This window comes from Homo sapiens, chromosome 14 (genome assembly GCF_000001405.40).
Source record: "Homo sapiens chromosome 14, GRCh38.p14 Primary Assembly".
Taxonomy (NCBI): Eukaryota; Metazoa; Chordata; class Mammalia; order Primates; family Hominidae; genus Homo; species Homo sapiens.
In genome coordinates, this window is record NC_000014.9 from 43062234 (window position 1) to 43080593 (window position 18360).

The 18360-nt window shown below is 35.2% G+C and overlaps 1 annotated feature.

The window, feature by feature from the left end:
- Positions 297–805: an enhancer, noted in NCBI's record as "H3K27ac-H3K4me1 hESC enhancer chr14:43531733-43532241 (GRCh37/hg19 assembly coordinates)". NCBI's record gives its function as "activates a minimal SCP1, AML or CMV promoter by ChIP-STARR-seq in primed H9 embryonic stem cells {active_cell/tissue: H9 hESC(primed)}" and the evidence as "EXISTENCE:reporter gene assay evidence [ECO:0000049][PMID:30033119]".

Below are 18360 nucleotides of genomic sequence, written 5' to 3' on the forward strand. Positions count from 1 at the left end.
AACATAGCCATTCTAAGTAATTTTAATCTACTTATTTTTTAGGTATTGATATTGGTGAGTCTACCCTGCATCATGTTCAGATTTCTCAAAAGAAAAGTTTGGAGGGAGGAGCCAAGATGGCCAAATAGGAACAGCTCCGGTCTACAGCTCCCAGCGTGAGCGACGCAGAAGACCGGTGATTTCTGCATTTCCAACTGAGGTACCGGGTTCATCTCACTAGGGAGTGCCAGACATTGGGCGCAGGTCAGTCGGTGCGTGCACCATGCACGAGCCAAAGCAGGGCGAGGCATTGCCACACTTGGGAAGCGCAAGGGGTCAGGGAGTTCCCTTTCTGAGTCAAAGAAAGGGGTGACAGACGCACCTGGATAATCGGGTCACTCCCACCCAAATATTGCGCTTTTCTGACCAGCTTAAAAAACGTTGCACCACGAGATTATATCCCGCACCTGGCTCGGAGGGTCCTACGCCCACAGAGTGTCGCTGATTGCTACCACAGCAGTCTGAGATCAAACTGCAAGGCGGCAGCGAGGCTGGGGGAGGGGCACCCGCCATTGCCCAGGCTTGCTTAGGTAAACAAAGCAGCCAGGAAGCTGGAACTGGGTGGAGCCCACCACAGCTCAAGGAGGCCTGCCTGCCTCTGTAGGCTCCACCTCTGGGGGCAGGACACAGACAAACAAAAAGACAGCAGTAACCTCTGCAGACTTAAATGTTCCTGTCTGACAGCTTTGAAGAGAGCAGTGGTTCTCCCAGCACACAGCTGGAGATCTGAGAACGGGCAGACTGCCTCCTCAAGTGGGTCCCTGAACCCTGACCACTGAGCAGCCTAACTGGGAGGCACCCCCCAGCAGGGGCACACTGACACCTCACACGGCAGGCTATTCCAACAGACCTGCAGCTGAGGGTCCTGTCTGTTAGAAGGAAAACTAACAAACAGAAAGGACATCCACACCAAAAACCCTTCTGTACATCACCATCATCAAAGACCAAAAGTAGATAAAACCACAAAGATGGGGAAAAAACAGAACAGAAAAACTGGAAACTCTAAAACGCAGAGAGCCTCTCCTCCTCCAAAAGAACACAGTTCCTCACCAGCAACAGAACAAAGCTGAATGGAGAATAACTTTGACGAGCTGAGAGAAGAAGGCTTCAGACGATCAAATTACTCTGAGCCACGGGAGGACATCCAAACCAAAGGCAAAGAAGTTGAAAACTTTGAAAAAAATTTAGAAGAATGTATAACTAGAATAACCAATACAAAGAAGTGCTTAAAGGAGCTGATGGAGCTGAAAACCAAGGCTCCAGAACTACGTGAAGAATGCAGAAGCCTCAGGAGCCGATACAATCAACTGGAAGAAAGGGTATCAGCAATGGAAGATGAAATGAATGACATGAAGCGAGAAGGGAAGTTTAGAGAAAAAAGAATAAAAAGAAATGAGCAAAGCCTCCAAGAAATATGGGACTATGTGAAAAGACCAAATTTACGTCTGATTGGTGTACCTGAAAGTGATGGGGAGAATGGAACCAAGTTGGAAAACACTCTGCAGGATATTATCCAGGAGAACTTCCCCAATCTAGCAAGGCAGGCCAACGTTCAGATTCAGGAAATACAGAGAACACCACAAAGATACTCCTCGAGAAGAGCAACTCCAAGACACATAATTATCAGATTCACCAAAGTAGAAATGAAGGAAAAAATGTTAAGGGCAGCCAGAGAGAAAGGTCGGGTTACCCTCAAAGGGAAGCCCATCAGACTAACAGCGGATCTCTCGGCAGAAACCCTACAAGCCAGAAGAGAGTGGGGGCCAATATTCAACATTCTTAAAGAAAAGAATTTTCAACCCAGAATTTCATATCCAGCCAAACTAAGCTTCATAAGTGAAGGAGAAATAAAATATTTTACAGAGAAGCAAATGCTGAGAGATTGTGTCACCACCAGGCCTGCCCTAAAAGAGCTCCTGAAGGAAGCGCTAAACATGGAAAGGAACAACCGGTACCAGCCGCTGCAAAATCATGCCAAAATGTAAAGACCATCGAGACTAGGAAGAAAATGCATCAACTAACGAGCAAAATCACCAGCTAACATCATCATGACAGGATCAAATTCACACATAACAATATTAACTTTAAATGTAAATGGACTAAATGCTCCAATTAAAAGACACAGACTGGCAAATTGGATAAAGAGTCAAGACCCATCAGTGTGCTGTATTCAGGAAACCCATCTCACGTGCAGAGACACACTTAGGCTCAAAATAAAAGGATGGAGGAAGATCTACCAAGCAAATGGAAAACAAAAAAAGGCAGGGGTTGCAATCCTAGTTTCTGATAAAACAGACATTAAACCAACAAAGATCAAAAGAGACAAAGAAAGCCATTACATAATGGTAAAGGGATCAATTCAACAAGAAGAGCTAACTATCCTAAATATATATGCACCCAATACAGGAGCACCCAGATTCATAAAGCAAGTCCTGAGTGACCTACAAAGAGACTTAGACTCCCACACATTAATAATGGGAGACTTTAACACCCCACTGTCAACATTAGACAGATCAATGAGACAGAAAGTCAAAAAGGATACCCAGGAATTGAACTCAGCTCTGCACCAAGCGGACCTAATAGACATCTACAGAACTCTCCACCCCAAATCAACAGAATATACATTTTTTTCAGCACCACACCACACCTATTCCAAAATTGACCACATACTTGGAAGTAAAGCTCTCCTCAGCAAATGTAAAAGAACAGATATTATAACAAACTATCTCTCAGACCACAGTGCAATCAAACTAGAACTCAGGATTAAGAATCTCACTCAAAACCGCTCAACTACATGGAAACTGAACAACCTGCTCCTGAATGACTACTGGATACATAACGAAATGAAGGCAGAAATAAAGATGTTCTTTGAAACCAGCGAGAACAAAGACACAACATACCAGAATCTCTGGGACGTATTCAAAGCAGTGTGCAGAGGGAAATTTATAGCACTAAATGCCCACAAGAGAAAGCAGGAAAGATTCAAAATTGACACCCTAACATCACAATTAAAAGAACTAGAAAAGCAAGAGCAAACACATTCAAAAGCTAGCAGAAGGCAAGAAATAACTAAAATCAGAACAGAACTGAAGGAAATAGAGATACAAAAAAACCCTTCAAAAAATTAATGAATCCACGAGCTGGTTTTTTGAAAGGATCAACAAAATTGATAGACTGCTAGCAAGACTAATAAAGAAAAAAAGAGAGAAGAATCAAATAGACACAATAAAAAACGATAAAGGGGATATCACCACCGATCCCACAGAAATACAAACTACCATCAGAGAATACTACAAATGCCTCTACGCAAATAAACTAGAAAATCTAGAACGAAATGGATAAATTCCTGGAAACATACACTCTCCCAAGACTACACCAGGAAGAAGTTGAATCTCTGAATAGACCAATAAGAGGAGCTGAAATTGTGGCAATAATCAATAGTTTACCAACCAAAAAGAGTCCAGGACCAGATGGATTCACAGCCGAATTCTACCAGAGGTACAAGGAGGAACTGGTACCATTCCTTCTGAAACTATTCCAATCAATAGAAAAAGAGGGAATCCTCCCTAACTCATTTTATGAGGCCAGCATCATTCTGATACCAAAGCCAGGCAGAGACACAACCAAAAAAGAGAATTTTAGACCAATATCCTTGATGAACATTGATGCAAAAATCCTCAATAAAATACTGGCAAAACGAATCCAGCAGCACATCAAAAAGCTTATCCACCATGATCAAGTGGGCTTCATCCCTGGGATGCAAGGCTGGTTCAATATATGCAAATCAATCAATGTAATCCAGCATATAAACAGAGCCAAAGACAAAAACCACATGATTATCTCAATAGATGCAGAAAAAGCCTTTGACAAAATTCAACAACCCTTCATGCTAAAAACTCTCAATAAATTAGGTATTGATGGGACGTATTTCAAAATAATAAGAGCTATCTATGACAAACCAACAGCCAATATCATACTGAATGGGCAAAAACTGGAAGCATTCCCTTTGAAAACTGGCACAAGACAGGGATGCCCTCTCTCACCACTCCTATTCAACATAGTGTTGGAAGTTCTGGCCAGGGCAATTAGGCAGGAGAAGGAAATATAGGGTATTCAATTAGGAAAAGAGGAAGTCAAATTGTCCCTGTTTGCAGATGACATGATTGTATATCTAGAAAACCCCATTGTCTCAGCCCAAAATCTCCTTAAGCTGATAAGCAACTTCAGCAAAGTCTCAGGATGCAAAATCAATGTACAAAACTCACAAGCTTTCTTATACACCAACAACAGACAAACAGAGAGCCAAATCATGAGTGAACTCCCATTCACAATTGCTTCAAAGAGAATAAAATACCTAGGAATCCAACTTACAAGGGATGTGAAGGATCTCTTCAAGGAGAACTACAAACCACTGCTCAAGGAAATAAAAGAGGATACAAACAAAAGGAAGAACATCCCACGCTCATGGGTAGGAAGAATCAATATCGTGAAAATGGCCATACTGCCCAAGGTAATTTACAGATTCAATGCCATCCCCATCAAGCTACCAATGACTTTCTTCACAGAATTGGAAAAAACTACTTTAAAGTTCATATGGAACCAAAAGAGAGCCCGCATTGCCAAGTCAATCCTAAGCCAAAAGAACAAAGCTAGAGGCATCACGCTACCTGACTTCAAAGTATACTACAAGGCTACAGTAACCAAAAAAGCATGGTACTGGTACCAAAACAGATATATAGTCCAATGGAACAGAACAGAGCCCTCAGAAATAATGCCTCATATCTACAACTATCTGATCTTTGACAAACCTGAGAAAAACAAGCAATGGGGATAGGATTCCCTATTTAATAAATGGTGCTGGGAAAACTGGCTAGCCATATGTAGAAAGCTGAAACTGGATCCCTTCCTTACACCTTACACAAAAATCAATTCAAGATGGATTAAAGACTTAAACGTTAGACCTAAAACCATAAAAACCCTAGAAGAAAACCTAGGCATTACCATTCAGGACATAGGCATGGGAAAGGACTTCATGTCCAAAACACCAAAAGCAATGGCAACAAAAGCCAAAATTGACAAATGGGATCTAATTAAACTAAAGAGCTTCTGCACAGCAAAAGAAACTACCATCAGAGTGAACAGGCAACCTACAAAATGGGAGAAAATTTTCGCAACCTACTCATCTGACAAACGGCTAATATCCAGAATCTACAATGAACTCAAACAAATTTACAAGAAAAAACAAACAACCCCATCAAAAAGTGGGCGAAGGACATGAACAGACACTTCTCAAAAGAAGACATTTCTGCAGCCAAAAAACACATGAAAAAATGCTCATCATCACTGGCCATCAGAGAAATGCAAATCAAAACCACAATGAGATACCATCACACACCAGTTAGAGTGGCAATCATTAAAAAGTCAGGAAACAACAGGTGCTGGAGAGGATGTGGAGAAATAGGAACACTTTTACACTGTTGGTGGGACTGTAAACTAGTTCAACCATTGTGGAAGTCAGTGTGGCGATTCCTCAGGGATCTAGAACTGGAAATACCATTTGACCCAGGCATCCATTACTGGGTATATACCCAAAGGACTATAAATCATGCTGCTATAAAGACACATGCACACGTATGTTTATTGCGGCATTATTCACAATAGCAAAGACTTGGAACCAACCCAAATGTCCAACAATGATAGACTGGATTAAGAAAATGTGGCACATATACACCATGGAATACTATGCAGCCATAAAAATGATGAGTTCATGTCCTTTGTAGGTACATGGATGAAATTGGAAATCATCATTCTCAGTAAACTATCGCAAGAACAAAAAACCAAACACCGCATATTCTCACTCATAGGTGGGAATTGAACAATGAGATCACATGGACACAGGAAGGGAATATCACACGCTGGGGACTGTGGTGGAGTGGGGGTAGGGGGGAGGGATAGCATTGGGAGATATACTAATGCTAGATGACGATTTACTGGGTGCAGTGCACCAGCATGGCACATGTATACATATGTAAGTAACCTGCACAATGTGCACATGTACCCTAAAACTTAAAGTATAATAAAAAAAAAGAGAAAAGTTTGAAAATATTTTTGAAATAAGATATTACCAAGTACTATTACTGAAAGTGCACTAGGGGTAACAATTTTGAATTTCACTTTCCACTCCCAATAATTACAATAGTCCAATATTTATTAAAATTATAAAATATGGAGTTGTAATAAAAACTACAGGCATTTCTCATTGAACTAGATAGGCACTGAGACAGGCAGATCCGGCCCTGCCTGTAGCCTGTCATTTTCCGTCCTCTAGTTCTAAAATTGGGCAACTAATGGGAATATGACTATTACAATAAGAAAAATCAATAAGGCACCAAACACATGATAATATGTAATAAGTTGCCCCAGCTAAAATGATAACAAATATGCTTGTGAAACTTACAAAATAATGAAAATATATTTGGAAAAATATGAATAAAACTACTATAAACGTTCCTGTGCAAGTTTTTGTGTGGACACAAATTTTTAACAAATTTAGGTAAATACCAAGGAGCCTACCTTAGACCTTAGACCATTTGGGCTAATATAACAAATTACCATAAACTGGGCAGGTTATAAACAGTAGAAATATTTCGCTTATATGGTTTACAGTAGGAATATATAGTTTCTATTGATTTTGAAAGATAGGGTTCTACTTTATTTTTATACCAAAATAAATTACAGACACGTAACATATTTGAACAAAAGTCATACAGTTTTATGAAGAATGAGTAAATGTTTTGAGTGAAAAATTATTTCTAAGCCAGAAATGAAATTTAGAAGGCATAAAGGTAAAATTTGACTACATAAGTAATTAACATTTGAATTTCAATAAATAACAGTATCCAAGTTAGTAAAAATATTAGTAACATCTATTTTGATTTCTTTAATATTGCATATAAAGGGTATAAACCAAGCAATAAGATGAAGATAAATTGCACATTACAAAATGGACCAAGGAATTGACAATTCAACTCATTAAAAGGAATAGCCAATTATGCAAGACTATGTACAAAGTTTTAAAATATTAATGTTTAGAATTAATGTACTATATTTAATGTTTAAGTTTGTATTAAATATAGTAAGTATATATGTAGTATAGGCTATAACAGAGTCTATTTACTGGATCATATGGTAAGAGTATGTTTAGTTTGTAAGAAAGTACCATACTATCTTCTAAAGTGGCTGTACTATTTTGCATTCTCACCAGCAATGAATGAGAATTCCTGTTGCTCCCTCTTCACTGGCAGTTAGTACTGTCAGTGCTGTGGTCTTAGCCATTCAAAGATGTGTATAATAGTATACTATCGTTATTTTAGCTTACAATTCTCTAAAGATGTATAAGTTGAGCATCTTTTCTTATGCTTATATGCAATTTGAATATCATTCTTAGTGAGGTGTCTCTAAACCTTTTGCTTATTTTTTTAGTTGGCCTGTTTGATTTTAATTTTTGAGTTCTAATTGTTTTTATATATTTTAGATGAACATCCGATTTTCTCCTATTCTGTAGATTATGTTTTCATCCTCTTAACAGTGTCTTTTGCAGAGCAGATTTTAATTTTAATTAAACCCAATTATTAACATTGCTGTAACTTTTATTCGTTCTCAGATGTTTTGTTGTTGATGATGAGTCTTTGAGATCTTCTGCATAGCCAAAAATGTCATCTGTGAGGAAAGAAAATTTTATATCTTCTTTCCTAATTCATATACTTTTATTTTATTTTCTTATCAGATTGTATTGTCTAGGACTTCTAGTGTGATACTGAATAAGATTGATTGAGAAGAGACATATTTGTTTTATTCCTAGTCTTAGCAGGCAAACCTCTACTTCTCTATCATTAAATAAAGTGACAGCTGCAGCTCTTTGTAGATTTTTAAAAATAAACATGTGGATGATCCTACATAGTCTTAAATTGCTAAAAGCTTTATTTTCTCTATTTAAAATTATGAAAGTGTGTGACATTTGTTGAAAATTTTTCTGCATTTATTGATATCATTGTCTGATTTTTCAGATTTAGTCTGTTAATGTGATGGTTGTTTTAATTAATTTATGGACAATAAACCAGCCTTGTATACCAGGCGTAAATCCAACTGGGTCATGGTATATAATTTTTAATACATTATTGGATTTTATTTTCTATTTTTGGTGGAGTTTTACATGTATGCTAATGAGAGATATGGACCTGTAATTTTTCTTTCTGGCAATTTCTTTTCTGGTTTTAGTATGAAAGTGATATTACTCTCCTAGAATGAGTCTGTTTCTATTTTATGAGTGAAATTTTATCAAAACGGAATGATTTTATCCTTAAATTTTAGTCAGAATTCATGAATGAATGTACTTGGGCCTGGTTCTTTCTGGTTTGAGAGGTATAAATGATTGGTTTAATTTGTTTAATATAAATGGTTCTATTCAGACTATTTCCCCTTGTGTGAGTTGTGAGTTTTAGTAGATTGTGTCTTTCAAGAAATAGATATTTGATTTTACCTAGTTCATCAAACTTGTGGATATAGACTTGTCATATTATTATTTTAAAATACTTCCAGCAGGAATTATCTAGACACAAAACTTATGAAAAATTTATCTTCATAATCTCCTTTAAATAAAGACTAGATTTATTTTAAAGGCTTTGGCAAGCAAAAAGACAAAGCATAATTAAATAGGAATTTGTAATGATCTGGACATAAGGATAAAGTACTAAGACACAGGAAACAACTACTATGACATTGTACTACAGAGATCTTTGAAAACTGAGTTTATGTTGCTACAAGCTACATAGAAAAGATATTGTAATGCACAGGGCATAAGATAAAACAATTAAGGGGAGATCTTTTTAGTAAGACAGCTAAATTTTCCATATATATATATATATTTTTCCAAATATATATATATTTCCAAATATATGTATATATTTACACTAAACAAAGTTTATAAGCAAGCCTGGAAAGAATCCTGTGGACTCATAGTAACACAACAGAATGCACAAACAGAATTCAGCACTATTTAAAGGACTTTCAATAAAATCTCAGAACCAAAATACAAGATTCGCAGAGTTTAACTAGTCATTAAAAACATTTGGAAATATGGCTTACATCTTAGAGAAATTCTGTCAGTAGAAAAACATACGAATTAAATGATGATGGAATCTGTAAAACGAAGTTTAAGCAATTATTGTCAATAGGCTAAACATGTTTAAGGAATTGGAAGAAAATGTGACTACAATGAGGAGAAAAAAAGAATAATATAAAAATGAAACACATAGTGCTCCAATGTCCTTACTGATTTTCTGTTTCTTTATTCCAGTTATAATTGGTAGCACTGAAGTGTGCTTTTTAATTATAATTGTAGGTATGTCTATTTCTCTTTGCAGTTCTGCAGTTCTGTCAGCTTTGCTTCATAGATGGATGGATGGATAAATAGATGGATAGATATGTCATTGAGAGAAAATAAAGAGATGATAAATAGATAGATAATTTAGCTAGATAGACAGATATTCTCTGTTATTCAGTGCATACCACATTATAATTAGGGAATCACTCTATTTCTAATGAAATTCTTTACTTTGAAATTAGTTATTCTTACATTTACATAGCTACTTTATTTTCTTTGAGTGATGTTAACAAGTTATATTCTCCCAACTTTTTATTTGTAAACAATTTATTCTTTATATTAAAATTTGTATAAGTAGCATATAGTTGCCAGTTGCTTTTTTACCAAATCTGAAAAAAACTGCCTTTTAATTGAGTTGTTTAGGCTATTTACATTTAATATTACTATTGTTATGGTTGTGCATGTATCTACAATCTTGATATTTGTTTTCTATTTGTCCTGACATTTTATTTCTTGTTTCTTTCCTTCTACTGTATTTTGCATTGAGATAAAAATAATCTCCAAGTAAGTTACTAGAAATAATAAGAGAGTTTAGCTGGTTATAAGGATATATATTCATTATTTAAAAATTTGATGTCCTATAGTACCAGCCACTAATATAAAGTATACTAACTACTGTAATGAATTAAAGACATAATGTTATTAGTATTATAGTACAATTAATATAATTAGTATAATAAAATATTACTATAATATATTGTTAGGCTTATACTACAGCATGTAACCTTATACATCAAAGTCTAATTGAGAATGAGTAAGATTTCTAGGTTCAAAAAATATATATATAGAAATACACACATGCATATATATAATTTATATCCATGAAATTTTAAAAGATGTATATAGATGAAAAATTATTACATATTAACAATAATATGGAAAATTAGATTAGTATGATAAATAAGGACATGTTGGAACAAGCATTCTACTTAAAAAAAGATACATGTGACAAAAACATAAAAATAATGGTAAATAAGGAAGGGCAAATAATCATCACAATACAATGCTGTTATATAACTACTAGAATGGCCAAAGTTAAAATGATAGACAATATGAGTACTAGAATCTTTTACTTATTCAGTATTTTTATCATACGTTGTATGATTGGGTGTTTTCCCACCCACCCAAATCTCATCTTCAATTCCCACATGTTGTGGGAGGGACCCAGTGGGAGGTAATTTAATCATGGGGGCAGGTCTTTCCTGTGCTGTATTCATGATACTGAATAAGTCTCATGAGATCTGATGGTATTATAAGGGAGAGTTTCCCTGCACAAGCTCTCTTTTTTTGCCTGCTGCTATCCATGTAAGATGTGACTTGCTCCCCCTTGCCTCTGCCATTATTGTAAGACCTCCTTAGCCACGTGGAACTGTAAGTCCAATAAACCTCTTTCTTTTGTATATCACCCAGTCTCAGGTAAGTCTTAATCAGTAGCATGGAAAAGGACTAATACAGCAAATTGGTACCAAGAGTGCGGTGCTGTTGAAAAGATACACAAAAATGTGGAAGCGACTTTGGAACTGGGTAACAGGCAGAGGTTGGAACAGTTTGGAGAGCTCAGAAGAAGACAGGGAAATGTGGGAAAGTTTGGAACTTCCTAAAGACTTGTGGAATGGCTTTACTCAAAATGTTTATAGCAATATAGACAATAAAGTCAAGGCTGAGGTGTTCTCAGATGGAAATGAGGAACTTTTTTGGAAACTGGAGGAAAGGTGATTCTTGTTATGTTTTAGCAAAGTGACGGGCAGCATTTTGCCCCTGTCCTAGAGATTTGTGGAACTTTGAACTTGAGAGTGATGACTTAGGGTATTTTGCAGAAGAAGTTACTAAGCCGCAAAGAATTCAAGAGGTAAATTGGGTGCTGTCAAAAACATTCTTTTTTAAAAGGGAAACAGAGCATAAAAGTTTGAAAAACTTGCAGCTTGACAATGTGATAGAAAATAAAATTCAATTTTCTGAGGAGAAATGCAGGCCAGCTGCAGAAATTTGCATAAATTATAAGGAGCTGAATGTCAATCCCCAAGTTGATGGGAAAAATATCTCCAGAGCATGTCAGAAGACTTCATGGCAATTCATTCCTTCACAGGCCTGGAGGCCTAGGAGGAAGAATTGGTTTCATGGGCTGGGCCTAGAGTCCCAGTGCTTTGTGCAGCCTAGGGACTTGGTGCCTTGTGTCCCAGCCACTCCAGCCATGGCTGAAAAGGCTTAAATAGAACTAGGGCTGTTGCTTCAGACGGTGCAAGCCTCAAGGCTTGGCAGCTTCCATGTGGTGTTGAATCTGCAAGTGCACAGAAATCAAGAATTGAGGTTTGGGAACCTCTGCATAGATTTCAGATGGAAGTGCCTGGATGCCCAGGAGGAAATTTGCTGTAGGGGCGGGGTCCTCATGGAAAACCTCTGCTAGGGTATTGAGGAAGGGAAATATGGGGTCAGAGCCCCCACACAGCGTCCCTACTGGGGCACCACCTGATAGAGCTGTGAGAAGAGGGCCACTATCCTCTAGACCCCAAAATGGTAGATCTGTTGACAGCTTGCACAATGCACCAGGAAAAGCCAGAGAAACTCAATGCCAGCCCATGAAAATAGCCATGAGGGAGGCTGTACCCTGTGAAGCCATGGGGGTAGAGCTGCCCAAGACCATGGAAATCCACCCCTCCATCAGTGTGACCTGGATGTGAGATATGGAGCCAAAGGAGATCATTTTGGAACTTTAAGATTTAACTGCCCTGCTGGATTTTGGACTTTCATGGGGCCTGTACCCCTTTTATTTTGGACATTTTTTCCCATTTGGAAAGCCTGTATTTACCCATGCCTGTACCCCCTTGTATCTAGGAAGTAACTAAATTGCTTTTGAATTTACAGGTTTATAGGTGAAAGGGACTTGCCTTGTCTCAGATGAGACATTGGACTATGGACTTTTGAGTTAATACTGGAAAGAGGTGAGAGTTTGGGGAATCAATGGGAAGACATGATTGGTTTTAAAATGTGAGGACAAGAGATTTGGGAGGGGCCGGGGTGGCATGATGTGGTTTGGCTGTGTCCCCATCCAAATCTCATCTTGAATTCCCTGCACAATCTCTCTTTTTTTGCCTGCTGCCATCCATGTAAGATGTGACTTGCTTCTCCTTGCCTTCTGCCATGATTATGAGGCCTCCCCATCCATGTGGAACTGTAAATTCAATAAACTGCTTTCTTTTGTAAATTGCCCAGTCTTGGGTATGTCATTATTAGGAGCGTAAAAACAGAGGAATACAATACTATAGCCAAGATCATGTCACTGCACTCCAGCCTGGGTGACACAGCAAGACTCTGTCTCAAAAAAAAAACAAAAAACAAAAAAACACATAATTGGCCATTCATACATGTTCAAGTTAGCAAGCTGTGGATGCTACCTTCAAAATTACAAATAAAATTTGCACCAGTAATATAGTTCATATTTAGGAGTGACTGCCACAACTGAAAATTTACCAAGAAATATTGATAACTAATGTTTCAGGTGAAAGGGTCATATGTTTTAATCACCAGTTACTTATTTATTAATTTACAATTTATTTAACAAATACCCACTGTATTTTATGCAATGTTTTACTACTAAGAAGTCATCAGTGAATTAAACTGATAAATCACCGCAATTGTACTGAGCTTCCAGTTTAGTTAGACAAGAAAAAAAACAAAAAATAAATTAAAAAGGGAAAGGATAGGATGTGTCACATAGCGTTAAGTGCTGGAACAGAAGTAAAGCAAGAATAGGTAAAGGATTACATTTACCCTTGTAATCTTTAATAAGGGTTTGTCATCTTGAATAGGGGGAATGTAATCTTGAAAGAAGTTATGTAATATTGAATAAAGATTTATAGAAAGACTCACTGAGAGGGTGAAATTTGGAAGATACCCACAAGAGGGACTAATCAAGGCAGATATCTTAAGTACTAGACAGAATTCCATACTGTTGAAAATTTTAAATGATAAAGAACATGGCTAACAACTTATAAAGTTTGTGATTATTTCAAAACAGAAGTATAGAAATTGAATATTTTAACATTGATGTATTTTAATTTGTCTATATAGTGTTTTCATTTTGTAGATTGAGAATAGTCTCTCTCAGCTACCATCTCATCCTACAAGTGTAGACTGTAAATTATTTTAGTTTATTTGCCTATATTTATTTTAGTGAATTGTAATAGGGACTATTTATAAAAAATTATTCTGAGAGAAACTGGAGCAAAATCCCATGTGAGATGTCTAAATTTTCTCATTAGTAAGTTCAAGTAGATGGTGAAAATGGCTAACTGTTCCATTAAACTGCTATAACCTAAGGCAAGCTGTTCTTAGAAAACCATCAAATGGGACTTAACCATCGAAATACAGGTCAAGACCACTTAGTCATATTTTATTGGATGCACATGAATACATCTCTTTCAGAATTAAGATTAACTTCCGTTACTGCTGAGCCAAGTGGTCTATAAAATTGTATGGTATTTCATTTATAATCCCAGAAGCAATAACCTGATGAACACATTAATTATATTTGCTATATAAGTATTATAAAATATTGTATGGTGTTTACTAATTGGCTTTATTATAAATTTTTCAGGATTTAGTCTACAAATATTATATATTAAGATTTATCATAAACTTTTTTATGATAAAACATTCCTCAGAATATTTGAGTCACAGCTTTACTTTACGTATTATAATAATTTTTTTTAATTAATATGAGATAAGTGTGAAAATAACTGACTATGGTCTGACTTTAGAAATGAAATTATTGTACTTACTTTTGTTTTTTCTTTGAGTGAAAAGTATGATCATCTGCTAAAAAATTCAGAAGTTATGAGTGTAGCAGGAAGTCTCCCTTCCTAGTCACCACCTACTCAGTTTCCCTATGTAGAGGCTATTGAAGGTCTTCAGTTTCCAGAAATATCCCATAGTTGTACTAAGATGTATGCATATATTACATTTTTATTTTCTTATAAAATAGATAGCAAGTTCTGCATGCTATTGTTTATGTTTACACTTTATATCATCTCTTAGAAATCATCCCCGTCAAGACAGACAGAACTTGTGATTTTCAATTGCAAATTACTCCAATGGATGAATGAATTGTAACTTAATAATCTAGTTTTCATTGTTGTATTCAGGTTGTTTCAGTGTTTTGCTACTACAAAGCAGTACTGCAATAAATATCTTTGGAAATAAGCAAGCTTGTACACATAAAAGTACATCTGTTGGTAAAATTCTCAGGAATCAATTTGGTAGATCAATATATGAATGAGAATACATTTATAATTGTGGAGATACATTGTTAATTTCCCTCCCTTGAGAATTTTACCCACTTACTATTACACCAGTAATATATGAAAATGCCTATGTTCTCAGTGTTTGCCTATGGAGGTATTTACAAATTATTTGAAATTATATTCCTATTTGAAAGATAAAAATTTGTATCTCAATATGTTATAATTTTCCATTCAGGTGAGAATTAGTATATTTCCACTTTCTGAGAGACATTTTACAGCCTACTTTATGTTATATTCTTAGAGTTTTTAAATTACTGCTTTACAGAAACTTTTATGTATTAAATAAATTACTCTTTTATCGTTCTGCGAGATGGAGCATTTTTTTCATTCATTAAAATCACTTTTTTTGGCCAGGCAGATTGCTATAATGCTTGGCTGATAAAAGCTATTTATGTTTAATTTTATTATTTTTGCATTTTGTAATGTTTTAAAAGCAATAAACAATACCTCGTGTTATACTGGCACATTTGGAGTCTCATTTTATCCACTTAAATCTTAAACACATTAAATTCATTTTGTGTAAGGTTGGAGATGTGAATCTAACTTAATTTGTTTAAAATAACTATTCTATTTCAGACTTGATCTATGATATTAACTCGATCTTTCAGTCTATTTTATGTGTTCATACTACAGCATAGCTTTTAAATATATTTTAATATTTCAAAAAGGTAGGCTTGCAGCACCTTATTGCTAATAAATATAGAAAAATATTGGCTAATGTACTTTTATTTATTCACCCGGATTTTTAGAATTAGTTTAATTTTAAAAAGTTGGGGTATATTAAACTTATAATGTACCATCAATACTATTGATAAATCGATGAGACCATCTTTCTACTCCAGAATTTTTTCCATTATTTTCCATATTTGGGGGTGGATAATTAGTACTGAAACACTTTTATATGCTAATTTTTGCTTATTTCTGTTACATTTGTTTCTATTTGTTGTTAATAATAAATATGCATTTTCCTACAATGTCTTTCAAGTAGTGGACTTCTGTCACTATAATAAAGCAATTTTTAAATATATTTATCTACTTTTGTTTCCTTTAAATAATATATTTTAGTTGATTTTCTCAGATTTACAAAGAATACAATTTTCAAGCAGCAGAATAAATGTCAAGCTTTCTTATGGTATGTAGGAAAAGACATATACATAACCAGTAATAAGTTCAATTGTGCGCAAGAACCAACATTCAAATGCTGGAAGTGGAACATCTAGGATAGAACAAGAAGAGGGCCAGAGGTTGCATGAAAGCTGAACTAACAAGTTTCCCAGACCTCTTTGACTGCAATTTTCAACTATATGAAGAAAAGATATGTGAACATACTCAAAACTAAAAGACCAGGAATTCAAGACCAGCCTGGCCAACGTGATGAAATGCTGTCTCTACTAAAAATACAAAATAAATAAATAAATAAATAAATAAAAATAAATAGCCTGTGTGGTGGCGCATGCCTGTAATCCCAGCTACTCTGGAGGTTAAGGCAGAAGAATAGCCTGAACCCAGGAGGCAGACGTGGAAATGAGCCAGGACCATACAAATGCACTCCAGCCTGGGTGACAGAGTGAGATTCTGTCTCTAAAAAAAAAAAAAAAAAATTGCTTTTGTATGCAAAATTTTGCTGTCCTGAAAAAAAGCATTTTAGGATACACTTGTTTATTCTTGATAATGTCCTTATTTTAAAATGTATATATGTAACATTTATATTAATCAGAACACATAGAATTGGTGTTTTATTAGTGATTACACTTTAAAACCATCTTCATATAGAATACGAAAAAGCAAAACATGATATTTATAAATTTCTATTTAGCTACAGACAAATGAACATTACTATATAAGCATACTGTTTTGACTTGCTTTACTAAATTAAATGGAAGCTGACAGAATTTAGTGTTTAAAAACTAATTTGAAATTGAGTTGGAATTATTGGGGAAAGTAAGTATTTGATATTTGCCAGGCATTTTTGTTGTTAGCAGCTGAAAATTATTCCAACTTTCTAAAAGAAGCTGGAAATTTCAGGCATTCTTTTTCTCTTATATCTAGAGTACAGGCACCTGCTCTTGACTTCTGTAGGGGTGGGGGGTTATTGTACAACCTCAATGTCCAGGGCTAGTGGCTGTGACAGTATTGCATGTGCCAGATTCTGCAACACAATCCAAAGATGAGTTTACTGACTGTGTTATCCACAAACCTTAAATCTCTGTCTTTCTTGGTAATCCTGTGAACTTTTTGACGTCGTTCAGTAAGTTATGTGCTTTTTAATTAGCTGGATTCAGTTCTGATTGCTTTTGTTAAGAAATGTTCAATAACTATACTACAAATCAGATTTTCTTGACTTCGATGCTATTAATATGTTGGGATAAACAATTCTTTGTTGGGGGATGGGAGTGGCTATTTGTGCACAGTAGGATTAGTAAGATATTTATTGGTCTTTACCCACTAGATGCTAGTAGAATATTCCCATTTGTGACAACCAAAACTGTCTCAGGAAACAAAATTGTTCCCACCTAAGTGAGAGCTACTGCTATAGATGGATAGGTAGCAGAAAGAAAAATTCTATGATATATACATTGAGATTCATTGAATAGATCCCTATTTCAACAAATACATATGAAGAGAAAAAAACTTCAGATTCCCATGAATGACGGTAAAAGTAATTGAAGATGGCTTGCAAAATTTAATATAAAATATGTATCCTATTGAAAAAACGAGAGAAACACATTTATCTCTTAGAGTAAAACCAAATCTGAATTTCTCCAGTGAGTAGTTTAAGTACCAAATTACTGTTTTGGGAATGCCTAGTGAATTTCTCCAGTGAGTAGTTTAAGTACCAAATTACTGTTTTGGGGAATGTCTAAAGATTGAATATAACAATATTGCAAAGAAAATTAAATTAATTTATTGTTCTTCTTGTTTCAGAATTCTGTGCCTTTTGGGTGTGGTGTGATCTCTTTTCCCAATATAATTTCCAAAGTCTCAGTGTTCACCTGAGAAACATATTTACTATGTCAGTAACGATAAAATCCTCTTCAGAAATATACCTATCTTAAAAGAGCTCATAAAAACAAACACACACATTTAAATAAATATTGATGGTATAATGTTTTCCATTTTAAAAATAATCCTTATATTTTGATTAGATCCTTGTTTTGTGTTTTCTTGTGTGTGCATAGGCATTTAACACATTTTGAAAAGCTCACAAGCAACAAAATTAAAAAACCCTGAATCTATTAAGTTTATAAGATATCTTTTCAAATGTGTATGTGATATTTATATATAACAGCCTTCATTAAAAAGACTTTTCTACTGAAAACATTTGGTTTAGTTTGAGGATAAAAGAGTACAATTAATCACAGGAAGCAATCTCTATTAAAAAACTAAAAAAAGTACAATTAAATTATGAGGGTAATTAGATACTTTAATAAATTGAGAGATGATTACCTGTAGGATCTCAGGCTTTCTATATCCCTACTTGTGTATCTATCATCTATCTATCTATCTATCTATCTATCTATCTATCTAATCTATCATCTATCTAAAAACATACATGCATGCACACACAGAGACACCTAC